The sequence below is a fragment of the Homo sapiens genome, chromosome 1, assembly GCF_000001405.40.
Source record: "Homo sapiens chromosome 1, GRCh38.p14 Primary Assembly".
Lineage (NCBI taxonomy): Eukaryota > Metazoa > Chordata > Mammalia > Primates > Hominidae > Homo > Homo sapiens.
In genome coordinates this window covers 166,856,476-166,882,741 of record NC_000001.11, presented here as the reverse complement: position 1 = coordinate 166,882,741, position 26,266 = coordinate 166,856,476, and the positions used below count along the sequence as shown (strand labels likewise).

The 26,266-nt window shown below is 40.6% G+C and overlaps 1 protein-coding gene and 1 pseudogene across 1 annotated transcript, besides 3 other annotated features; one reads left to right on the top strand and one right to left on the bottom strand.

Annotated features, from left to right (window-relative positions):
- Nucleotides 6,092-6,141: an enhancer, noted in NCBI's record as "active region_2027". NCBI's record gives its function as "activates an Ori minimal core promoter by ATAC-STARR-seq in GM12878 lymphoblastoid cells {active_cell/tissue: GM12878}" and the evidence as "EXISTENCE:reporter gene assay evidence [ECO:0000049][PMID:35858748]".
- TADA1 (transcriptional adaptor 1) lies at nucleotides 6,478-26,232 on the top strand. Its single transcript, NM_053053.4, has 8 exons — nucleotides 6,478-6,582; nucleotides 12,888-12,979; nucleotides 13,232-13,297; nucleotides 18,821-18,918; nucleotides 20,330-20,539; nucleotides 22,405-22,556; nucleotides 24,461-24,623; nucleotides 25,023-26,232. The coding sequence occupies exons 1-8, from the start codon at nucleotides 6,509-6,511 to the stop codon at nucleotides 25,173-25,175; spliced, it is 1,008 nt and encodes a 335-aa protein (NP_444281.1). The 5' UTR covers nucleotides 6,478-6,508; the 3' UTR covers nucleotides 25,176-26,232.
- Nucleotides 6,542-6,591: a silencer, noted in NCBI's record as "silent region_1514". NCBI's record gives its function as "represses an Ori minimal core promoter by ATAC-STARR-seq in GM12878 lymphoblastoid cells {active_cell/tissue: GM12878}" and the evidence as "EXISTENCE:reporter gene assay evidence [ECO:0000049][PMID:35858748]".
- Nucleotides 6,622-7,021: a silencer, noted in NCBI's record as "silent region_1513". NCBI's record gives its function as "represses an Ori minimal core promoter by ATAC-STARR-seq in GM12878 lymphoblastoid cells {active_cell/tissue: GM12878}" and the evidence as "EXISTENCE:reporter gene assay evidence [ECO:0000049][PMID:35858748]".
- DUTP6 (deoxyuridine triphosphatase pseudogene 6) lies at nucleotides 13,535-14,008 on the bottom strand (annotated as a pseudogene).
- Nucleotides 26,233-26,266: the final 34 nt, after the last annotated feature.

The following is a 26,266-nucleotide window of genomic DNA, read 5'->3' as shown; positions in this document are numbered from 1 at the left end:
ATCCTGGGCAGTATAGGGAAACCTCATCTCAACAAAATAATTTAAAAATTGGCTGAGCATGCTGGTGCACACCTGTAGTTCCAGCTACGCTGGATGGAGGCTGAAGTGGGAGGATCACTTGAGCCTGGGAGAAGGAGGTTGCAGTGAGCTGAGACTGCACTACTGCATTCCAACCTGGATGACAGACCTAGACCTTGCCTTTAAAAAAAAAAATCTCTTCACGAGAACAACATTTGTAAAAGAAATTAGGCATAAATCTCCAAAAGATGCAAGACTGAACGCCTTACTTTGGGGAAAGTCCTGGCTCTCAAGGATAGAGAATGCTGTGTGGTATAATTGTGGCTGTAATTCCAGACAGTGAACCACCTCCTACATTTCCACCAACAAATCTGGCCAAATCTTCTGAAATTCATTTATCAAGTTCCTTCCCTGGGGTCAGATTTTTCAGGGCGACACCAGACAGCAATTCATCTTTCTGGATCAGCACTTGTGGCTTTCCCTTCTTCCAGAGGGTGATGTCAGTAGTCTAGTCTTCATCGAGCATAGTCTTGCTATGTTAGTAGCAACTTCAGTGACAGTGCATCAGTTTGGAATCTCTACCTGCCGAGAGTGCCAAAGATTTCTCCAATGCTTTACCTTCGTCACTATACAAACATATATTTTTTAGCACTGTAGAGAAGCTCTTATCCACATTCTGAGTAGTGATCAAAGGCTTCAAAATTTCCAAATTTTATTTGGCTACGTGGTTACAGAAGTCTGAAGGGGTTCTTTTCCAAACCTTTCCAAACATGAAACTTCTAGCCTCCACAACTGTGAGATAATGTTTCAATTGTTTAAGCCACCTAAACTGTGGTATTTTGTTGTAGATGTCTGAATGGACTAAGACAAGTACCTATAAAACTTAAGAGGGTCTTAAGCTGGGGCCCATGGGCCCCAAAAAGGCCCATGATAGAACTGTGTTCAATAAAATTGTTTTAAATGTAATCCTACGTTATTTATGCATTAAAACATTATTCTTAGAAGGACTCCAAAGGTATCACCAGACTGGCAGTGAGATCCATAGCTTTGAAAGAAAAAGATTAAGAACCTCTTTACCTCCTTCCATCAGGCATAAAATAAATAGATGTAGTATCAGGGCAAGATGACTCTCAACTTATTTTCAACCATAAATTTTACTAGGGCCTAATATATTCCATGTTTATAACCTTTAACTATATTAAAATCTGTAGACTGATGCAGATATAGAGGAGGAAAACATTACATAGAATTTTCTAAAATATTTAATTCCAACACACATTTATGTTGAGTTTGAGCCACCATGTACCACAGTATAACCATATGTATAGGTACCATATGTATAGTTACCATATGCGTGTACCTTATGTACCACAGCATACATATAAGTATTACAAATTACAGCCAATGTTATAAGTTCAACAAGAAAATTGAATATATGATTAATAATATTTTAAAGCTGAACTGTAAGAGTCCTTCTAGTAAAGCAGAGCTGCTGATGTCTGAAATGGAAACAACTCGCACATTTGCTGACAGTGCTTTGAGAAGGCTAATGAGTCAATGGTAATGGGTAAGTGGAGTAAGAAAGTCAATCAAATATTTTTGCTATGCTAGGCCCTGGCCACTGTAAAGAAGGAGTCTATGATTTATTAAAAAAACTAAACTAAATCTAAATATCATATAATGGATAAAGACAGAATAATAACTATATAATCTTCGGAGCTGGAACATCTCAGAACTCCTTCAACATCAAATCTTAATGTCAATCCAAAAGACAAGTGTTGGCAATGATGGGGAGAAATTGAAATCCTTGTACACTGTTGGCAGAAATGCAAAATGGTGCAGCCACTATGGAAAACAGTGTAGAGGTTCCTCAAAAAATTAAAAATAGAATTACCATATGATCTAGCAATCCCACTTCTAGGTATTTATCAAAAAGAATTAAAATTAGGATCTCAAAGAAATATTAGCATTCCTATGTTCATTGCAGCACTATTCCCAATAGCCAAGATGTGGAAATAACCAAAATGTTCATTGACAGATGAATGGATAAAGAAAATGTGGGAGGTGTGTGTGTGTGTATACACAATGGAATACTATTAGCCTTAAAAAGGAAGGAAATTCTGCAATATGTGACAACATGGATGAACCTTGAGAACATTATGCTAAATGAAATAAGCTAGTCTCAGAAAGACAAATACTGCTGCATGACTCCACTTACATGGGTATCTAAAATAGTCAAATTTATAGACTCAAAGAGTGGGATGATGGTTAACAGAAACTGGTGAGAGGGGAAATGAGGAGTCACTAATCATAAACTTTTAGTCAAGCAACATGAATAGACTCTAGAGATCTGCTGTGCAACACTGTACCTGTAGTCAATAATAAGGTATTGTGCACTTAAAAATTTGTTAAAAGGTGGGCTCTGTGTGGTGGCTCACGCCTGTAATCCCAGCACTTTGGGAGGCTGAGGTGGGCAGATCATGAGGTCAGGAGATCAAGACCATCCTGGCTAATACGGTGAAACCCCATCTCTACTGAAAATACAAAAAAAATTAGCGCGGCGTGGTGGTCCGTGCCTGTAATCTCAGCTACTCGGGAGGCTGAGGCAGGAGAATCTCTTGAACCCAGGAGGCAGAGGTTGTAGTGAGCCGAGATCATGCCATTGCACTCCAGCTTGGGTGACAGAGCAAGACTCTGTCTCAAAAAAAAAAAAAATTGTTAAAAGGGAAGATCACGTATTATGTGTTCTAACCACAATAAAAAAAAGAAATCCTAATGTTAAAAGACCAGTGCTTAATAAAATACAGAATAGGAATGGGAAAAATTAAGGAGGTACAGGCCAGGCTCTTATAAATATGTAAGTAAACTAGCTATGAGAATACACTTTTTAGAGGGTTTTCCTTTGTTTGTACAGAATTATATTTATGAAGGAAAAAAGTTGTATAGAAACAGGCAGTGTATATGAATAATACCACCAACCTTCAGTTATCTATCTAATGAAATGGAAAAAGATATGGATAATATAAAGGAAATTTTATTTTATATAAGTGGAGAATACATACACATATTTACACACATAATCCATATACTTGGAGAAATATTCATAAATACTTAGATGTCAGGTAAGGTTGGATCCTCAGATGTCTGTTCTCAGCAACTTATTGAGTTGACTCTACTAGTTACTCTCAAACCAGCCTGTAACCAGCTGGATGATCCAAAAAAAAAAAAAAAAAAAAAAAAAAAAAACTAGACTAAACATTTGTCAAGTTTCTTGCTCTTTATAAAGCATTTTGACACACATTCTCTGAAGCTATTTATTAGTTGCACTATGCATTGTACAAATATTGCTATAATAAAAGATTTAGAATTAGTTCCTTTAAAGTAACCTTCCAAATTACAAGTGGTTTTAATATTCATTTCCTTTCAAAAAAATTTGTTTTTTAAAGTTGAGGTCTCACTCTGTTGCCTAAGCTGGAGTGCAGTGGTGCTCTCATAGCTCACTGCAGACTTGAACTCCTGGGCCCAAGAAATCCTCTCACTTCAGCCTCCCCAGTAGGTGGGACTACAGGCATGTGCCATCACCCCTGGCTTGGTATTCATTTATAATATTGTGTCCGGCATTGGTTCCTTCCAGTGGGTTCTTGGTCTCGCTGACTTCAAGATGAAGCTGTGGACCCTCGCGGTGAGTGTTACAGTTCTTAAAGATGGTGTGTCCGGAGTTTGTTCCTTCAGATGTTCATATGTGTCCTGAGTTTCTTCCTTCCAGTGGGTTCGTGGTCTCGCTAACTTCAGGAGTAAAGCTGCAGACCTTCACAGTGAGTGTTACAGCTCGTAAAGGTAGTGCAGACCCAAAGAGTGAGCAGCAGCAAGATTTATCATGAAGAGCGAAAGAACACAGCACCCACAGCATGGAAGGCCACCAGACTGTATTCCCGCTGCTGGCTCAGGTGCCCAGCTTTTATTCCCTTATTTGGCCCCGCCCACATCCTGATTGGTCCATTTTACAGAGTGCTGATTGGTGCATTTACAAACCTTTAGCTAGACACAGAGCGCTGATTGGTTCGTTTTTACAGAGTGCTGACTGGTGTGTTTACAAACCTTTAGCTAGACACAGAGCGCTGATTGGTGCGTTTTTACAGAGTGCTGACTGGTGCGTTTACAAACCTTTAGCTAGACACAGAGCGCTGATTGGTGCGTTTTTACAGAGTGCTGACTGGTGCGTTTACAAACCTTTAGCTAGACACAGAGCGCTGATTGGTGCGTTTTTACAGAGTGCTGACTGGTGCGTTTACAAACCTTTAGCTAGACACAGAATGCTGATTGGTGTGTTTTTACAGAGTGCTGACTGGTGCGTTTACAAACCTTTAGCTAGACACAGAACGCTGATTGGTGTGTTTTTACAGAGTGCTGATTGGTGCGTTTACAAACCTTTAGCTAGACACAGAGCGCTGATTGGTGCGTTTACAATCCTTTAGTCAGAAAAGTTCTCCAAGTCCCCACCCAGCCCAGAAGCCCAGGCGGCTTCACCTCTCAATATTAAATTGTTTGGTCAGATGTCCATTTATGTATATTATATTGTCTAACATTACAGTTTAAATGGACATTTAACTGAAAAACTGTAGTAAAATTAGTGTTAATAGGTGTATAAGTGCTGAGAGAGAAAGGGATATTTAATTGAGCTAGACGTATGAGTATTGTCAAGCATGGGTTCAAAAAGAAAATCTTTGAGGCCTATCTTTCTTCGTGGCTAGAGACAAATGAGAAACAGGGATTCTTCCTGGAAGATGTACCCAACTATCTGTAGCCTTTCCTAGTCCTGTTGACTTGATCCTTGAATAGATTCATATATATGTTTGAACCTGATTCAAAAAAAATGGAGGTAGCCAACCATAAGTCTCAAAACCAGCAGAGAGGAGATATGCGTAAAGGGGAAGAGCCATGTGATTTGTTAAAGTCAAGTTAACTAGAATGCTGAGTCCAAGTGTGGGGTTATGTGGGAAGGCCAGTGGTGTGTGAGGTACACAGGTAGGGTGAGTTCAGATCATGAGAACATTTGAATGCTGGAGTCTGGAATTTGTTCAGCAGAGCGTGGGGAGCCATGGAAAACTTAAGTGGATATTTTTTAAATGTGTCAAAACTTACCCAGAGTTTTGACACAGAGAGGAAGACTTTGCCTGACCTTTGTATCTCCTTTCACCTGTGTATCTCCAGTACTCAAAGAGTTCCAGACACATAATAGGAGCTCACTGTATGAATTCAAGTGAAGAGAAGGTGCCCGGCTGGCATTGCAGCCAGGACAGGGCTTGTGGGTTTAGGTTGGGCAGTGAGGAAGTTGAATGAATGAACTTAAGGGGACATCTTTGGAGAAATTACACAAGATCTAAAAGCTATCTAGGATTATTTAAAAAACTTTGGGAGGCAATTTGACAATATACACCAAGGCATTTATAAATATTCCCATCATTTGATCCAGTAATTCTATGTGTGGGACTCTATGCTAAAGTAATAATCCTAAAGGAGGAAAAGTTTTATGCATAAAGAAGTTTTGCTTCATTATGCTATATGCTTCAAAAGCAATATTACAGTATTGCTTTTTAATAGAGAAGAAATGGACACAGTCTAACAATTGGGAAACAAGTTGTGTACCTTCTATCTGTGGGGGTATTTAATATGTTGTCATTAAAATTATTCTAAAGACAATGTAATACTACAGATAAATCCTTAAGTTTAAAAACGTGCAAAATTGAACATAGAATATTTTAAGTCATGGGAGTGTGCGAAGTGAAGGAGAAATCTCTCTCAGTTAAGTGTTTGTCCGGGAGTGGTAAAACACTTTTTCCTTCTTTTTATCTTTATCTTTCTGTGTATTTTCCAAATTTTACATAGTTACCTCATTTACTCAAATACTTATTAAGCATCCACTATGTGCCAGGCGCTGCTCTAGAGAATTGCGGGTAACAGTGAATAAAACACAACTCCTGTCCTCGAGCCATAACATTTACAAGATAAATCAACTAAATGTCATATGAGACGGTTAGTGCTCGGGGAAAAATAAGGCAAGGAAAGAGTAAAACTGATACTGCATTTACTTTTTTAAATGGAGGGGTAAGGTACTCCTCCAGGCAGAAGAACAGCAGGCTGAATTCGGAATTGCCCCAGCGGTAACAGAATGAAAGAGCTTGGGACACGCCAGCCTGTCAGCAACGTTGCAGCCGAGGCGGGGCGCGCGGGTTTAGGATGGGCGCGCGACAAGGTGAAGCGGATCACGTGACTCGAGGGGCGGGAGGAAGAGAGCAGAGTTTGGCCGGGCACCTTCCCTGCGAAAAGGCGGGCGGAGCCGAAAACCAAACAAACGACTTCTGAGAGATTGGGGGCGGGACTGACGGCGGCCGGCTTAGCTTCCAGAGCCAAGGCCTTCCGCCGAGTTGGTTTTTGGGTTGTTGATCGCGGTGGCCGGGCGGTCTGCGGTCGGGCTGAGACACGCGGAGCAATGGCGACCTTTGTGAGCGAGCTGGAGGCGGCCAAGAAGAACTTAAGCGAGGCCCTGGGGGACAACGTGAAACAGTAAGAGCTGCCCTAGCACAGCGTCCAGGCCAACACGCGGGTGCTCTCCTGGCCTCGGGCTGCCAGCCCGCCCCGGAGACGCCCGCGTCGCCCGGGGGCCTGTGCAGCCTGGAGTCCGCGGCGGCGGGGCTTCGGGGTTTCTCCGGCCGGGGCGGGGCGGGCCACCTGAACTCACCGCCCTGGAGAGACCGGGCCTCCTGGGCGCCCGGGAGACATCGGCGGGCGCCGTTGCTCGGGACTGTCTGCCCTGGGTGGGGCGGGAGAAGCGCACTTCGCACCCAAGGGCCTGCTGAGCAGGTGCGGGCCCCAGCGCGGGCGTGCGGGATGCGGGAGGCTGACTTGGGCGGAGTGAGCCGGAGCCCTACGCGTCCAGCCAGAGGGCATAGCGCAGGGCGGCCCGCCCCTGGAGGGCTTCCTGGAGGTGGAGGCCTGTTGAGCTGGTGTGATCTGCTACGGATTATTGGTAAGCTCTTTTGACAGCAATTTCGTAAGGCAGACGGACCCTCTGGTGAAATCACAGTCATTGAACACTACAATTATAGTGATGATAGCAGTAGCGGACATTTTAAACATTTTAAGCTCTCTAAATATATTATCTAATCCTTACAACAGATGTGAGATAGGTACAGTTGTTATTCCCATTTGACAGATGAGAAGACTGAGACCTAGTGCGGACAAGTAACTCTTCAAAAGTCACTGTCAGAGTTGGGACCCACGCTTTTGATTCCCGACTGATGCATTAGAGGGGCTGTAAAGGATCCCAGAGACGCTCAGCCAGACCTTCATCCAGGTTATGGCAGGGGACCTAGTGCACAGTCAGGTTAGGTGCAGAATGGCCAAGGGTAAAATCAGTATCCAGTCAAAGCCAAAGCCAAAGAGCAAAAAAGGAACCTCTGGGATACAAGGAAGAGTTTGGAAATTTTCAAAACGTTGTTATTACAACTTTATTTTTCAAAAATATAGGAAGCAAATATAAACGTTTAAAATTACAGTGCCTGTGTTGTTGCTGCTAGATGGCTTCTCTGGTATTCTACACATTTGCATTACTCAGTGGATGCATACTTTTAAATGATGTTGGTGGAGGAGCAATTTGGGAATACTTAATTTTTCTCCAATACTTTCTTTTCATCCTTCTCTGTTCTTTATTATTACTGGATTGAAATTACTTAGGTTGGATGTCATACATGAATTTTGGAGTTTTTCCTTCATGTGAAATTTTGGGGTGGCAGAGTTGACAGTCTACTTTTCATCCTAACAAGATAATAATGGAAACTATAAAAAGATTAAAATTAAAATCTAAACTGTTATTTTAGCATAATTATTTAATTTTTGGTGAACATTTATTTACGCCCAGAGATATGTTTCACTTTGTGTTTGGGGGTTGGGGTCTTGCTCTGTGGCAGAGGCCGAAGTACAGTGGCCTGATCACACAGTTCACAGCAACCTTGATCTCCTGAGCTCAAGAGATCCTCCCCTGCTGTGAGCCTATAACTGGGACTGTAGGCACGCCCCGCTAATCCTGGCTAAAGTTTTTTTTTTCAGAGACAAAGTCTTGCTGTGTTGCCCAGGCTGATCTCAAATCCTGGCCTCAAGCAGTCCTCCCGCATTGGCCTCCCAAAGTTCTGGGATTACAGGCATGAGCCACCACACCCGACTATAGTGTACCACCGAAAATTGTCTTTCGATATTGATGTTCACTGTGCTTATTGAATTAAATATTCTTACTTATTTTAATAGGTAAAATTGACAGCTTTCACCCTAATTACTGTAGCTTTTTACTTTTGTAATACCGACTGATAAAATTTACCTTTTTTTTTTTTGAGATGGAGTCTTGCTCTGTCGTCCAGGCTGGGGTGCAGTGGCATGATCTCCGCTCACTGCAGCCTCCACCTCCTGGGTTCAAGCACTTCTCTGCCTCAGCCTCCTGAGTAGCTGGGATTACAGGCACCTGCCACCACGCCCGGCTAATTTTTGTATTTTTAGTAGAGATGGGGTTTCACCATCTTGGCCAGGCTGGTCTTGAACTCCTGACCTCGTGAGCCACCCGCCTTGGCCTCCCAAAGTGCTGGGATTACCGACGTGAGCCACCGCGCCCAGCCAAAATTTACATTTTTAAGCACATAAGGGGCATTTCACTCTGTTCCATCTAGAATGCTTACAAATATTTGAAAGCAAACGTTTACATACCAAAATAAATCTGAAGGACCTGGCTTGTGTATGATTGCCTTTAACCCTGATTAGATGCAATGGTGACCTCTGTCATCCCATACTCATCAGTTACAGGTTCAGGGCTGCCAAAAGTGTTTTTGAAGTTAGCATTCCTTATTTAGTTTTTAAAGGCCAAAGCCGACTGTCTGATGTTGGTCAAATACTGATGCTGAAGCTAAATTTGGTGCATCTGGAGTGTGAATCCCCACTAAAATGCAATCAAAAGAGATTTTTATGCCAGAAACAGTTAATGGTAACGTATAGTTCTAAATTTGTTTTTCCATTCTCTCATTGTTCTTTTCCCTTCTCCTTAAAAAGTACCTCTGGGTTAAATAGTCAGTAATACTCTTGTACTGTACAGTCATTTCTTATATTTCCTCCATGAGCAGTTTGCTTTGGTTTGCACAACCTATTTAAGTGTGGTCCTCGGTGGTAGGCAAAACATACAGGGTTATGCACGGAGGCTGGATATGAGTTATTTGCTATTTATCCAGTGGTCTGAACATCCTTCATGTCTGACTGGTTGGGTTGTGTGCCCAAGCTGCTTCCAGGAAGACATGGGCTTTGCTAGGCAACTCACTTTGTATAGTAGCCAGTAGAATGCCATGTTCAAATAGGTGCCTGATTTCTTTTGAGGATTTGATCATATGTTATTTATTTATGCATTTATTTATTTATTTTGAGAGAGAGTCTCACTTTGTCACCCAGGCTGGAGTGCAGTGGTGCGATCTCGGCTCACTGCAACCTCCACCTCCTGGGCTCAAGTGATTGTCCTGCATCAGCCTCCTGAGTAGCTGCGATTACAGGCGCCCACCACCATGTCCGACTCATTTTTGTATTTTTAGTAGAGACGGGGTTTCGCCATGTTGGCCAGGCTGGTCTTGAACTCCTGACCTCAAGTGATCCACATCCCCCTTGGGCTCCCAAAATGCCAGGCTTACAAGCGTGAGTCACTGCGTCCGGCCATGATCATATGTTATTTAATATTCTTTAGGTATATCCAGTGCTTCGTAATCTGACCCACTTATACTTCTACCCATTGTCCTGACCTTCACAGGGATTGATTGGCTTTGTTTTTGGTATTTGTCCTTAGTCTGTGTTGCTATAAAGGAATAGTTGAGGCTGGGTAATTTATAAAGAAGTTAGTTTGGCTCACAGGTCTGCAGACTGTACCAAAAGCATGGCACCAGCATCTTCTGGTGAGGGCCTCAGGTGGCTTCACTCATGGTGGAAGGTGAAGGGAACCTGCATGTGCAGATCACTTTGGTTTTTTTTTTTGGAGACAGAGTTTTGCTCTTGTTGCCCAGGCTGGAGTGCAATGGCACTATCTCGGCTCACTGCAACCTCTGCCTCCTGGGTTCAAGCGATTCTCCCGTCTCAGTCTCCCAGGTAGCTGGGATTACAGGTGCGTTCCACCACACCTGGCTAATTTTTGTATTTTTAGTAGAGACAGGGTTTCATCATATTGGTCAGGCTGGTCTCAAACTCCTGACCTCAGGTGATCCGCCCGCCTTGGCCTGCTAAAGTCCTGAGATTATAGGCATGAGCCACCGCGCCCGGCCTGCAGATCACTTTGTGAAAGGAAACAAGAAATGGGGAAGGTGCCAGGCTCTTTTTAAACAACCAGCTCTTGGAGAATCTCTTGCAGGAACTCACAGAGTGAGCGAGCTCTCACTCATTACCACCAGGAAAGATAACACCAAACCATTGGTGAGGAATCCTCTCCCATAACCCAAACACCTCCCATTAGGCTCCACCTCCACCATTGAGGATTAAATGTCATCATGAGGTTTGGTCAAATATCCAAACTATAGCAGTATTGTTGAGGGAAACAGTCATTTGTCTGTGGCTATACAGTGAGTTAACAGAGGGACCAGGATTGGAGAGCAAGTCTTTTAACTCTTGGTAGCTAGTTCTAGCTCTTTGGGCTAAAAGTTTTGCCACTGGAGAAAATAGTTTGCGTTATTTTGACAGAGCTTCCTGGTAGAGCCTTGTTTTAGTTCTGGAACAAGTTCACTCTTTCCAAATATACATTTGCTTCTTATAAAATACTGACATAGGACTTTTAAATAATAGAGTTTTTCTCCAGGTTACTATTTTTTTATTTTATTTTTTTTGTTGTTGTTGGATAGAATGGGATAGGAAAAGACCTTTGGTTTTCTGTGGAGCTTTATTTTATTTCTTTCATTATTATTCCTGTCCTTTAAAAAAATGTATAAAAGTGTCCACTGTTGGAAAGTTACTGTTGACCTATTGACTAATGAATGTGCAGCTATCAAGTGGAAAGGGTACCAAGCTCTAGAGCTGCATGTGTTCTGTTGTTAAGTGAAATGGGCCTGAAAGATGGCAGTGTCGTGGGTTTTGGGCCACTTAAGACCCCATAAAGGCTATGGGTTTTCTCCTGAAAAACAACAACAACAACAACAACAAACATCAACCCAAAGCTTTGCATGCAACTACATATGATCATAGTCAATTACATATAGAGATACTAAGATGACTTGAAGCTAATCCACACACAGAGGGAGATCTGCCATGGGCATTATATGGCAGTGAAAATATTAAATCATCCCGTTGAGAAATCTGATTTTTTTTTCCTGTTAGGAACTCAAGTATTGAGTAATTTTTCATCCCATTCCATAATAAGAAGCAGCTTCCTTAAGTACCAAAACCAGGGTTGTGGATGTGGTGTGATAAGTGACATTATTTCACTCTAATTCCTAACACTGTTGTTAAAGTGTAAAAGGTTAAGTCATTTTTTTTCTACCAGTTACCAAGTAATTTTTATTATTAGGTGTTGATTTTCACTTTAAAAACTACAGATATCCCCAGGCATTTTCTTTGTGCTGAGATGTTTAGAAACCCATTTTTTTTTCAGCCAGTTAGATTGAAAGTTGAGTTTATCTGAAGGGAAGGATGTCACCTAAAACAAATATAAATGACTACTCCCCTCTCCGTTAAACACACACAGTTTAAAATATAAATCTTAAATGCAGGATTCTGGAGAGTAGGTCTATTAGAAAGGTGACAGTGAGAAACAAGGGTATAGCTATAATAGTTTTGGGCTAAGTGAATCATGAGTCCAATTCTGTGACTACCTGCCAATTCCCTTTTATTTGTTTTGAGACAAGGTCTTGCTCTGTCACCCAGGCTGGAGTGTAGTGGTGTGATCATGGCTCGCCGCAGCCCTGACCTCCTGGGCTCAATCAGTCCCTCCACTTCAGCCTCCCAGGTAGCAGGGACTACAGGCATGCACCAACATGCACAGCTAAGTTTTGTATTTTTTGTAGAGAGGGAGGTCCTGCCATGTTGCCCAGGCTAATCTCGAACTCCTGGGTTCAAGCGGTCTGCCTGCCTTGACCTCCCAAAGTGCTGGGACTACAGGCATGAGCCACCGTACCGGCGAGTCCCCTTTTAGGGAGGATTTTCCTTTCTTTGTTGGTATTCTGATTCCTAGGTGTATTAGTTTGCTAGGGCTGCCATAACAAAGTACCACAGACTGGTTCGCTTAAACAACAGAAATTTATTTTCTCACAGTTCTGAAGGCTGGAAGTCTGTGATCAAGATGTTGGCAAGAGGCCTCTCTCCTATAGATGACAGCCTTCTTGTTGTGTGTTCACATGGTTATTTCTTTGTGAATGTATCTGTGTCCTAATTGCCTCTTCTTATAAGGACACCAATCATACTGGATTAGGGCCCACCCTAATGGCCTCATCTTAATTACTATTTAAAGGCCCAATCTCCAAATAGAGTCATATTCTGAAGTACTAGGGTTAAGGCTTTAACACAGGACTTTTGTGGGGGGACACAATTCAGCCCATAGAGCCAGGGAATGCAAAATTTCCTTTCCTCGGAGTTGGAGCATGTATGCTGAACTTGGGGAAGAAGCAAAATGTGTTCATGCTGTAGTCCCAGCTACTCAGGGGGCTGAGGTGGGAGGGTAGCTTAAAGCCAGAAGTTCAGAGCTCTGATTGTTCCCCTGCACTCCAGCCTGAGTGACAGAATAAAAAACCCCGTCTCTTTAAAAAAACAAAACAAACAAAAAAAACTAGAAGCAGCCAAATCTGTGGTTCTTAGTATTGTTTCTGCCTCTGCAGATACTGGGCTAACCTAAAGCTGTGGTTCAAGCAGAAGATCAGCAAAGAGGAGTTTGACCTTGAAGCTCATAGACTTCTCACACAGGATAATGGTAAAATAATTATCTGCAGAGTTATTTTACTATTCTGTAGTTTTCCTAGATTTGTAGTAAAGTCTTTTCCCTTTTTAAAAAGTAAAATTTTGGTTTTGTGGTGTATAAGGTTATCTTAATAATGTGGATACTTTAAGTATAAAGCATGGCAGAATAGGGGATATCCAAAATCTTGAGAAGCTAGACCAAAGTTGTGGTTTCCTTATGTTGAAAATGTTTTGAATTTGATTGTCACTATCTTTCCTTTTTCAGTCCATTCTCACAATGATTTCCTCCTGGCCATTCTCACGCGTTGTCAGATTTTGGTTTCTACACCAGGTAAGGGAGTGGAAATACTTCCAGTGTGTGTAAGTCAGCAAAGCACTAGACTTTAGCTTTCTCTAATAGACACAGCTAGTGTTTGTAAAGCAGATGTTTTTGAACTACTCAGAAGAAAAGTTTTATTAGGTAGATACAAATTCTTTTACAGAATCTTTTTTTTTTTTTAAAGCAGAAACTCTTTATTTTTAAGAAAAAGGTATGATTTCTCATTTTCAGTTCTTGGCATACATTTTAATTCTTTCCAGTGGAACCCAAACCTCCTGAACCCCTTTCAGTGTCATCCAAAGCTTGAATTTCTGTTTCTGGAGAAAAAGTCTGTTCACAAATGAGCTATGCAATTTGATCACCATTTTTGACACCAAACTTTTCTTTGCCAAAATTGAATTGTACAACACCAACACTTCCTCTATAATCTTCATCTTATGATGCCAGCTCCTACATCAGTAAAGTGTTTTTCAGCCAAGCCAGATGTGGCACTACTCTTTTCTAACACCCAGAAGGAAGGACTGTCTGAATGTTTGTTTTCACAAGTGCTTTCTCCCTAGGTGGTATTGTGTAATCCTAGGCATGTCCAAGTCCTAGCCCCCGTGGACCCCTTGGTCCGGGCGTGTTATGCTGGGAGAGCTGGGCAAGGCTGCTCTGTGTGCCACCCTCCCCCGCAGGCCAGTTTGCTCAATGGGGGAAATAGTGGTGTCCCTCAGAATAGGGCTTGAGAGAGCCAGAAGGCAAGCAAGGAGATAGCCCGGGAACAAGAGGGCGCAGGGTGAGCACCACAGCAGGGACTGCCCAAATCTACGGAGCCTTGTAAAGCAGGTTATGTCCCTGTACTTATATTACCTTTTGATATTGAGTCCCCACTCAGCTACATTTTAGATTACTTAAGTAAATGAGAAGTGAGGAAGAGGGTGGGAGATCAGGATGAAGAAGGTAAGGGAGATGAAGAGAGGGCAGTTGGTGTTAGGTGTCCTGTACCTAAGGGATACCTAACTTGAAAGGTGTCCGTAGTGGGGAGGTGGGGGAACCCAGCATATGTTGGGAACCTGGACTTCCACTATGTTCTTAGGTAAGATAGCACCTGAAAGGTCAAGCTTCAGCACCTGTGTTTCACAGATTATTGGTAGATAACAAGAGGTAGGGGATAGTAGCATGTTGAGGGGGTAGGTGGAAACGAAACCTGTCACTTTAACCTGAAGAGAAGATTAAGCTGTAAGTCACCTCTCTCAACCATCTTATTTTAATCAGTCAAAAACAAGTAATTAAATACATTGAAAACTTTCCTCATGATAAAAGTCATACTGGACTTTTTAAAAAAAATTAGGCCAAATGATTTATTCAGTAGTTTTTATATTTCTAAATTGCAATTTATATCTATTCATAAGACTACAAAAGTTACCATTACAATTGTGCTTACCAACTCCTGTTGTAGATTAAATTGAAATTTTTTTAAGGGCTTAGGGTGATTCTGATGATCATATATCGAAAGCTCATGTTTTATCTATAAATGGCTGGTATTTTTTAATCCTCTCTCTCTGTTTACTTCTACTGTATGATAAAGAACTCAAGCCAGGGCGTGGTGGCTCACGCCTGTATTCCCAGCACTTTGGGAGGCTGAGGCGGGCGGGTCACTTGAGGTCAGGAGTTCGAGACCAGCCCGGCCAACATGGTGAAACCCCTACTCTACTAATAATACAAAAAAGAAAATTAGCCGGGCGTGGTGGCGCACATCTGTAGTCCCAGCTACTCAGGAGGCTGAGGCATGAGAATCGCTTGAACCTGGGAGGTAGAGGTTACATTGTGCCACGGCACTTCAGCCTGGGCGACAGAGTGAAACTGTGTTTAAAAAAAAAAAAAAAAAATTCACATAAGATCTCCTAACACCTCGTTCTTTGACCCTCAAAGAAGTCGTTGTTAATGTGTAGTAAACTGTGAGCACCTGCTTGTGGGGTTGTTTTAGAGAGCAGTGACTGCCTCCCTCCCCTCACCACACTCATCACCGCACATTCTTACACTGTGTCAGATTTTTGATGTGCTATTTAATTTATATACAAGTAGACTTTAGCCATTCCTCTTTTATGTCCAAAGTTAAATCATAATCTATTTTGTTACATAAAATTTAATTTGATCAGAAAAGCCAATATTGTGAATCTTACTTTTTAGGGAAGCATATTGTAAATTGCCACATATGCCAAAGATAAATGGAGTGATCAGAAGTAAAAACCCTGGTTGATAAGAGTCAAGAGACTTAGGTTCAAGTGTAGGTTTTGCCACTAGCTTACATAATATAGTTACTTGGGCTTTCAAATTTATAAAATAAGTACAGCAATATCTACCCCGTAGGATTATGAAAAAACAGATGAAAGAACTTATAAAAAAGTGATTTTAAAAATAAAAAATGCCAGCCAGACACAGTGGCTCATGTCTGTAATCCCAGCGCTTTGGGAGGCCAAGGTGGGTGGATCACCTGAAGTCAGGAGTTCAAGACCAGCCTGGCCAACATGGTGAAACCCCGTCACTACTAAAAGTACAAAAATTAGCCAGGCATGGTGGTAGGCACCTGTAATCCTGGGTACTAGGGAGGCTGAGGCAGGAGAATTGCTTGAACCTGGGAGGCGAAGGTTGCAGTGAGCCGAGATTGCGCCACTGCACTCCAGCCTGGGTGACAGACTAATACCCTGTCTCAAAAAAAAAAAATAAAAATAAAAAAAATTGCCAAACAAATGTTGAAGTGGTATTCGTAAGTACAGGTGGCTGATTTTAATTAGATAAAAACCTTTGATATTCTGAATGGTTGTTAATAGTTATTTTAAAATAAATGAAGAAGCATTTGGATTTTGAGAATGTATTCTTCCATTGAACACCCCAAATTTCTCAAAATGAAATTAATATTTGTTAGCAACAAAGAGAAGATTTCTATTACAAGTAAAATATAGTTGTTTGTACCTCACAATTTTGGATGGGTTGTTTTCTAGTTTTCTAAGCTAGTCAGGAAAGATGATATTAATAATAATATTTGTTGAGTATAGCATACTAGACACTTTATATGCATTATCTTTAATCCTCACAACAATTCTGCATGGTAGGTGTTAGCCTGTTTTTATAGATAAGGAAACAAAATTAAGAGAAGAGAAAACAAAACAAAAGAAAAACTTGCCTTAGGCCTTATCCAGCTAGTAATTGGATGTGTTGGATCAAAACTGAAATCTAAGTGCTACTAAAAAGCCTTCCATTTTGTCAGGGTTAGGCCTTAGCGTGCTTCGCTTGGCCACGCAGCAGCAGCTGGTAAGCTGTGAGTTTGCAGGCCTGCTCCTTTGCATCATCGTCTGCATGTCCAGCCTACTTTCCTGTCATCACTTGGCATCCAGTTTCATTTATCAGGAAGGGATTTCTTGGGAAAATCATCTAAGATTGGCTGACCTTATCAAGTGAGATCTGTGCATGCCAAAGATAAGAGGAACCTGACTTCCCAAACAGTTCTTTTTAAACTGAGGAATCTGGAATATTTTTTTTTTCAAAGCGTTAAAAACGTTTCTTTCCAAAAATATCAAAATTGTAGGAACATTTTACTATGATTATGGGTGATTTTTTCTTTCTTAAAAATTTTTTTGAGTTTTCTTTTTTTTTTGGAGGCGGAGTCTCACTCTGTCGCCCATGCTGGAGTGCAGTGGTGCTTTCTCGGCTCACTGCAAGCTCCGCCTCCCAGGTTCACGCCATTCTCCTGCTTCAGCCTCCCGAGTAGCTGGGACTACAGGTGCCCACCACCACGCCCGGCTAATATTTTTTTTTTGTATTTTTAGTAGAGACAGGGTTTCACCATGTTAGCCAGGATGGTCTTGATCTCCTGACCTCGTGATCTGCCCGCCTCGGCCTCCCAAAGTGTCGGGATTACAGGCTTGAGCCACCGCACCCGGCCTTGAGTTTTCTTTTTAAGTGTACTGTAGTGAGGTTGTGTTACTTTTTTTTTTTTTTAACATTAAACAATATATGTTCATGGTTAAAAAAATATCAGTAGCACAGAAGGTTTTATGATAAAAGCTTGTTCCCACCCCTAGACCTATTCCCAAAGGCAACTACTTTTTGTTTTTTGTTCTTCTGGTGGGACCTCTTTAGCCCTCATAGTTGCTTAAATCTGTTTCTGGATTAACTGATTTTAACATCTCTGTCTTATTGCTCTGTGTTTGAGATTTCCTGAACTCTTTGGGCCTTTCTGTTGAATGCATTCTTTAATTCAGCAATTTTAATAGCATCTTGTTTCATGGATGAACATGTTCTGAAAGTTTTCTGCGGATACCTGTTGGAAATTTATCAGAATTCTTTTGCATTTCCTGTCTAGGACCTCTTTTTTTTTATTTTTATTTTTTTAGCTTGCTCTTTCTTGTCATGTGAAAGAATATTGTCAAATATCTGGTGATTAATTATTGTCCTTTTCATGTTTAAGAATGAAGCATAAAACTGCCTGGAGACTTTGCTTTAGAGTAAGCTGACAGGAAGCCTACTGTTAAACTGGGGGTCTCCCAAATTCCCATATACAGAGAGCTTTGCTGTAGGGTACCAACATCCATACCAGCTACCTTAGTAAATCCCAGAAATTGTGTTCGGTTTAACTAGAGAAGAGTCCTTATTCCCTCCCCACCTTCCTTCTAACCCCCTGACTTAGCTATTATAAATACCCTGCTCTGTGTCATTCTGTGCATGGGAATGAGCCTTCCTGGGCCTGTGACCTGCATTGCACAGAAGGGCCCTGCACTTGGTTTGTACCATCATTATCTTGAAATTCTTAATTTTTAAACACGAGGCCCAGCACTTTGATTTTGTACTGAACCCAGTTTTGGGGGTGAGTGAATGGGTTTGTGTGGATGATTTAAGGATATAGACATTCCATTAATTTTGTTTTTAGCCTTACAGATCCCTCCTGGTTTCCACTCACTCACATTCTCCCAATCCAGGTTGTGGGTTTCTTCCAGGCAGGTTGACGTGCTTCTGCCTCACTTGCCACCTTCCTTGCCTAGCCTAGGTTACAGCTTCTATGGGTCTGCTTCACGAGTCTGCACCCTTTTAGTCCATCCTAGAAATTTGTTGACATCTCATCGTGTCTGCCACTCATTTTCCTTTTTAACCTCTGTTGTGCAAGTGTGCCATTTACCTTCCTTACTTTCATATTTTGTAGCGTCTTGGGAGAGGAGATAAATACATGTGCTCAGTTCATCATCTTAGACCAGCAAATTCTGTCCTACATCTATAATAATACTACTGCTAATAAACAAAACACCCAATAAACATTAATTGAAAATATAAAAAAATTTGTCTTCCTAAAAAAATTTTAGTTGCAGCTAGGAAAAAAATGTGATTTGAGAGGATCGATAATTTTATTTAGAGAAGTAGAAAGAGAAGGTTTTGATTTAAGCATTCATTAGTTATTTGCATTTCATGAGCATTCCATGCTTTTTACCCCAAATGAAAACAAACTTAGCAGTTATCAGTTGTCATTATTTTTACTTATGGTTATATATTTCTGTCTCCTAGATGGTGCTGGATCTTTGCCTTGGCCAGGGGGTTCCGCAGCAAAACCTGGAAAACCCAAGGGAAAGAAAAAGCTTTCTTCTGTTCGTCAGAAATTTGATGTAGGTTGTTCTTTAATAGGTCTTGATAATGACTGATTGAAGTAGTGGCATGTTGGGACTAGCTTTAGTTTTTAAATGAATATTAAAATACTGGTAGTAGAGTTGAAAAAAAGGAGTATGATTTGGGAAGAAAAGCGTTTCAAGGATTGTGAGTTCTAGGTGTCTGAATTTTTATAGTTCTTGTTTGTTACTGCTTAAATAGTAATGTTATCATTAGTACCTAATGATTTTTCAGTTATTCAAAACAATGCTTTTGTCTCTCCTGTTAAGTATTTTTCTTGAATGAATAATGTTTCTTGGATGAAGACATCTGTCTCAAGGGCTCAGGCAGCCTGGAGGCCTTTAATGGGGTCCTGGTGATGTCCAGCTGGGCCCTGAGCCTTTTGAGGACTAGTAGAGATGTCATGAAGGCATTTGGCTATAAAATTTGTAAGCATTTTAAAACAAATTGCTTTTTTCAGTGTATATTTAGGGAAAAAAACTTCCCCGAAGTAACCCTTTTATAGGTTTATGGGGTATTGATAGCTTTATTGATTAACATCAATAAACAATTATTTATTTTCACCTTGACTATATGCTTTATATCAGTAAGAATGTAGAGGCCATTGGGATCTCTAGAGAGACATGTCTGATTTAAAAAGAGATGTTCAATATAAAGTAGTTTTATACTTGGAAAATGGAAAAATAACCATGTTGTTTTCATAATATCAATTTCAAACAGGGACAAACCATCTTCACTACAAAATCTTTTATATTAGCCTTAAGCAAAAGGTACTGGGGCATAACTCCAGGTGGTGATGGAGAACATGAATGGGCTATCAGAATCTCCCTGAGGAAGGCTGAGATTTTATGAATGAAAAAGACTGAGAAAAATAGTCATGACTGTATCTTAGGTTCTGTGTTGAGAATTCTAAGTAGAAAATAACAGCAATTAAGTAGTTACTCTACATAGCATTATCTTGGAATATTTGTTACTAGATCTGCCATATTGGTTAGCTAGGCTTTTTAAGATTTAATTGAATCATTCATTATATGTTTATACTTTTAGAACCTACTTACGGTTAGATTTAAAATGCTCTGATTTGTTTGAATATAGTTCAATACTTCTCCTTCTCTTTCAGTTATTTTTAACACAGTGCCATACATTCTGTGATCACCAAGGTATTAATTGAATAGAATAAACTACTACGCAAACTACCATTATTCCCCTTAATCCATGTCTTCATTATTACCTTGTATTGGATGTGAATCTGTGATTATTTGTGCATGAATTAACTCTTTTTTCCCTTAACCCCTGTGGTATAGTTTTGGTGGCATTAATTTGGAGGATCTCAACTTCAGTACAGGAGTTTACTTTGTGTCTTGTTTGCTACTGTAATGAGTAATTTTAAAAAGTTTTTCTTACTCATAGCATAGATTCCAGCCTCAAAATCCTCTCTCAGGAGCCCAGCAATTTGTGGCAAAGGATCCCCAAGATGATGACGACTTGAAACTTTGTTCCCACACAATGATGCTTCCCACTCGAGGCCAGCTTGAAGGGAGAATGATAGTGACTGCTTATGAGCATGGGCTGGACAATGTCACCGAGGAGGCTGTTTCAGCTGTTGTCTATGCTGTGGAGGTTGGTTTGCTGTTGGCAGAAATAATCTTACAGGTTGAATGTGATAGGCTTGTGTGTTGTTTAAAGTCGGTATTGCAAGAAAAGAATCCAAATGTCACTCTGATTTCACAGAATTGTCATTGTTGAAGTTGTTTTCTGTTTTTTTTGAGACAGCATCACTTTGTCTCCCAGGCTGGAGTGCAGTGGCACGATCATGGCTCACTGCAACCTGGAAATCCTGGGCTCAAGCGATCCTCCTGCCTCAGCCTCTCAAGAGCTGGGAGTATAGACGTGCGCCACCATACTCAGCTAATTTAAAAAAAAAAAATTTTTTAGGGATGGGGGTCTCTCTCTCTTGCCTAACTGGTCTCGAATTCATGGGCTCAAGTGATCTTCCCGCCTTGGCCTCCCAAGGTGCTGGGATTTACATGTGTGAGCCATAGCACCTGGCTAAAAGTTGTTTTCTTTTAAGAGGAGAAACTCATTATAATCCAAATAGTTGTCTTCAGTTAATAGACTAAGCTTTTCAGAAAGGTTATTTATGGCATAACTCTTCTGGTTGATCTGATGTTTTGTCAACAGGGGAATGGTTTTTAAGGAAAGAAATGAAATTGAGAATCCTATAGATTAAAGTCACTTGTTTTTGCTGTGATACAGCACTGAAGAGTATTAGTCTTGGCATCTGAACAGCAGAATTCTTGTCTCTGCTCATGATTTCATTTGTCCATTCATTTTATTCATTTAGTTACTTGACAAAACTAATTTGATGGGGTCTATAATGCACGAGTATGGTCAGGTGACATTGGATTTTCAATTCTCTGAGCCCTATTTTCTTCATCTGTACTTCAAAAATAATAACAGTTGTCCCATGAAGTTATAAACATTAAATGAATTCTGCGTGCAAACCAATTTAAATAGTACAATAATGTCTTGATATAAGTGGATTTTCCTTGGTATAATTGAAACACCCTGCCTGATGCTGGCTCCCCTATTAATAATGGTAGCCTGGGACGAGTTCTGTCACTCTATTTTCACAGGCTTCCTCAACCTTTTCTTATATACTTGGCTCTCATGAAAGTGAAGAGAAATCAAGTACCTAATTTATTTTGTGCTTATTTCCTATATATCTGTTGTTTATGTGGCTTTTGAGAGAGCCAAGGTTCTTTTCACGCAAGGATTTTGGTTCCAATAATATCAGATCTTAAAACTTTTTGTCCTATTTTAAACAAAGTTTCAGCATAGTTTGTCTCTTTTTAAAAAGTCATTTTTGCTCATGCCTGTAATCCCAGCACTTTGGGAGGCTGAGATGGGCGGGTCACCTGAGGTCAGAAGTTCGAGACCAGCCTGGCCAACATGGTGAAACCTTGCCTCTACTAAAAATAAAAAATTAGCCAGGCTTGGTGGTGGGCACCTGTAATCCCAACTACTTGGGAGGCTGAGGCAGGAGAATTGCTTGAACCTTGGAGACAGAGGTTGCAGTGAGCTGAGATCGTGCTATTGCACTCCAGCCTGGGCAATAGAGCAAGAATCCATCTAAAAAAAAAAGTCATTTTTGTGTACTTCTTTTAAAGCCATCTAAAACTCATTTTTGAGAGAGAGGAGCCAATTTAGAGATGTAAAGACTTTTCAAATTTCATGTATAGCAAGCCCCTCTTAAAGAGAACTATTAATACATGAAAATAAGCATGTCCCCCTCTTTCCCATACCCTCCTACTCCTTTGGTGTGGCTCCGTGGCTCTTCATGTGAACATTCATTTGGTTCTAGCATATACTAACCTATTCTGCATCTCCATCTAAATGCCAATAAATGTTTTTTGGTCAGTGGAAGTTTTATGATTTGCTTTTAAAGAGGATATCATGCTATTTTTCTTTTTGTATGTTTACAGAATCACCTTAAAGATATACTGACGTCAGTTGTGTCAAGAAGGAAAGCTTATCGGTTACGAGATGGTCATTTTAAATATGCCTTTGGCAGTAACGTGACCCCGCAGCCATACCTGAAGAATAGTGTAGTAGCTTACAACAACTTAATAGAAAGGTAAATGAAGTTTCTTGTGATTTTCTTTCCATCTTTTGCTAGTTGTTTATACTCCTCTTATAGACCATTGTTAAATAATTGATTGTGTTTTCATAGGTTTAAGTACCTTTAATAGGAGTACAATTTTATTTTTTAAAGTCCTATACTTGCCTGAGATCTAGTGAATTATTTTGGTACTCCTTTTATGAGAAGTGAAGTTGCAGAGTTTGGCTTCTGCATGCGGGTTTAATGTGCTTGTCCCCCCGCCCCGACTTTCTTAGGTGCAGTGGAGTAGTGCATAGGTGGTGCATCCTGAGGGCTCCCGAGGGGCATCACCTGCCCAGTGGGGAAGTGAGCCTGCTTTCAGTTAGAGGCAGGGCCTGTGATTGTTGGGTCACAGCTGGGTGTCTTGGTGGTGGGAGGAGGAGGAGGAGTGGTAGATGTTTCTCCAGGCCCTCATCTGGCTCTTGTAGGCATAGCTCAAGATAGTGGTCTGTGCCTGGTGTCATCACTTGCTTTTGGCCTCCTGCTGTGCAGACATGGTCTCTCAGCTCACCTCTGGGATTCCTGTGTCGTCTTCCCATTGAGGGCTTCAGGATGTCTCTATGTCCTGAGTCACCCCTTTATGAAACAACCTAGATTACTTTCATCCCTGTGTTGTCTTTCTTATCCTTCCATCTCCTTTTGTCCTCCACTTCCCCCAAAGGGAATTTAGTCTGAATTTTAAGCCTTTGGGAAAGGAAAAAAAAAGTAGTAATGTAATTTTCTTTATGGTTACTGAAGTGACTTGAATTTCTTGTGATTTGCTGGACTTTGCGTATCTGGTTAGTTTGGGAGAAGAGAGGTAAAGAGATAACTGGGACTTGCAAGTTCAGAGAAAAAAGTATGTATGACTGGGAAGGGTGGCAGGGTGATTGGTGAAGTAACAGGAAGGGAAGGCAGGAGGTGTAGGTGGGAAAGCTAAGAGAGTTGGATAGAGGGAGTGTTGATAGCACATGTGGGAGTTTGTGCCAGTGCCCATTTCATGACTCTGAAGACCTTTACAGGGGTCATGGGCCTATTTTAACCCATCTTAAATTGGGTTTACTGTTTAGATTGCCATATGTGGTGATTTATTGTCTGAATCCCATTCAGGCGTATCTGTTTGGGATCATTCTTCTCTAGAAAAAAACAAATCCCCAAAAGTGGCTCCTTGTAGCGGGTGATGTTGGGAGCAGCTTCTGGCCCTGGCGGGACTCCCAAGCCCTCTCTGCCCTGCTGGCCAGTCTCTGAGGGCTTTTGCCTCTCTATTGGCCACTTGTTACTCTAACAGGGCTGCTTTTGTCTGATGCTTCAGTCCCACGCTAACGTTCCACTGTGCTTTCCTCTGAGTTACTGCTTTACTCTTTTGTTTTACCTCTAGATACGTCCTCAGCATTGTGTAGGTTATCTCCTACTGGGTTATGAAGTAAAAACTATGTCTGACTTCTCAGTTTGTATCTAGCTCTATTTTGGGAAATTGGCAGGTTCTGGATTAATTTTCCCCACTCTCCATTTTTGCCTGTTGCTTCTGTGCTATGTCTTCTTTTCTTCTAATTTATTTTAGAACCAGTTGTTTCCAGTACCATTCACCTCCCTCTTTATTTGTTTTGAATGTTATATTCCTGTAGTTAAGGTCTGTTAGTTTTTTCAACTGGAAGTTCAGTATCCTGAGCTAGGTAAATATTTTAACATTGTGGAAGAAGGAGGGTAAATATAGTTGTATTATGTTTTATTTCCAGCCTTTAAAAATTAAAATTACAGATTATTCATGTCTACAGGAGTAGACATTGAATGGATTTCTAATTCAATTAAAGATTTTTTAAATAAGATTCTAGCAGGCCACTCCTGTCCTTGTTGCTCAGTTGTCTCTGTGCTGGGACTATTTCTGAAATTTTTATTTTCAGCCCTCCAGCTTTTACTGCTCCCTGTGCTGGTCAGAATCCAGCTTCTCACCCACCCCCTGATGATGCTGAGCAGCAGGCTGCACTCCTGCTGGCATGCTCCGGAGACACTCTACCTGCATCTTTGCCTCCGGTGAACATGTACGATCTTTTTGAAGCTTTGCAGGTAAGTCTTGGCTCCTTAAAGTTTACCTAGGTTTATGGATAGGTTAAGAGATTCTTTAAGTCTACAAAGGTATTCACTGGTTTTTTCCACTTCTTGGCTTTGTGTTTTTCAGTTTTGTCTGTTATAAAAGCCGTTATTAATACTAGCCTCATTTTTCAAATCCTGAGCCCATCTTCTATCTCCCCAATAAAGAAAGAAAAGAAAAAAAATCCCTTGTTCTGCTATTCCTGTTTCAGAAGCTTGTTATTTCCTTATTATTATCCAATTGGTGATTCATTTTAGTGTATGACTGAAAGTTTATAGATTGTGTGTATGTTTTGTTGATATAAACCCTTTTATATGTCAGAAAAATAAGTCTACTCAAGTATAATTGGACATGCGTTAATTTTTTAATCCCAGGTGCACAGGGAAGTCATCCCTACACATACTGTCTATGCTCTTAACATTGAAAGGATCATCACGAAACTCTGGCATCCAAATCATGAAGAGCTGCAGCAAGACAAAGTTCACCGCCAGCGCTTGGCAGCCAAGGAGGGGCTTTTGCTGTGCTAAATTAGGATTTGAGGGTGTGGGACCCTCACCGAATTCATTGATTACTGAAAATTGAATGTTTTTTGGGTCCACATTTCAAGGCTGAAGTGTATAGTGTATATATAACCTTTCCTATGGAAATGTGACATTGAGTACATTTTGTGTTGCTGTTGTGAAGCCATTAATATAAATCTTTGGTAATGACCCATATCTCTATATGTATGTGTTCCCAGTTGTGGGAGCAGGCACTAATGAAATCCTGTGCCTGGAATGGAGATATTTAGGTACCTGAGGCTTAGTGTCCTGTGGTCTGCATGTAAGATAGATGACATCCTAGAACAAAGAAGCTGTTTTAACTTAATCCCCCTGATCAGCAGGATATCTGTGTGTTCAGTGACATCATACATTCTGTATCTAGAAGTCTAAAATTTCTGCCTTTCTCCTAAAGAATGTGTTCTTGCATTTTGGTTGAAATAACCTACACAGTGTTAAAAATCAGATACCTCCTTTAGTGACCAGTTCAAATTTTAATAGCGATAGGTAGCCCCTGAGAAATTTATCACTATAACTCCACAGGAAATATGACTTGGAAGTGCTCTGTGTACTAAACAAAATAAAGCCCCTCTTTGCATTTAAAACCAAAGTCAAAACAAAACTCTTGTAATGCAATTAATTAACTTTATGTCTTCCCATGACTCAAGTTTTGTTAAATATGCCCAAAAACTTTGATTGGCAGTTTCTTCGGTTAATTATTCCTATAGAATGTATTTTAAGAAATCTATACAAATTGGATATATGCTTGGTAATTCTCCAGTTTCTAGGAGGTACCTATTTCTACCGTTTCAAGTGATGAAGTGAAAATAATTTACATTCGATAGTGTTACTGATAACAAACCTACTTAAGAGATATGTTGCTTTTTACTTAAGGGATAGTGTTGATAGATAAATTAGAATGTATAGATAGGTTTGTGAAAGTCTAAATAATGGTTGTATAGATATGTATATATGGTTCACATATCTGGATCTGTGTATTTGATTTTGTACTTTAAATGTGACAAATAAACCTTTTGGGAGAAAACTTTGTTGTTTATTAAACATTATAAGGAATATTG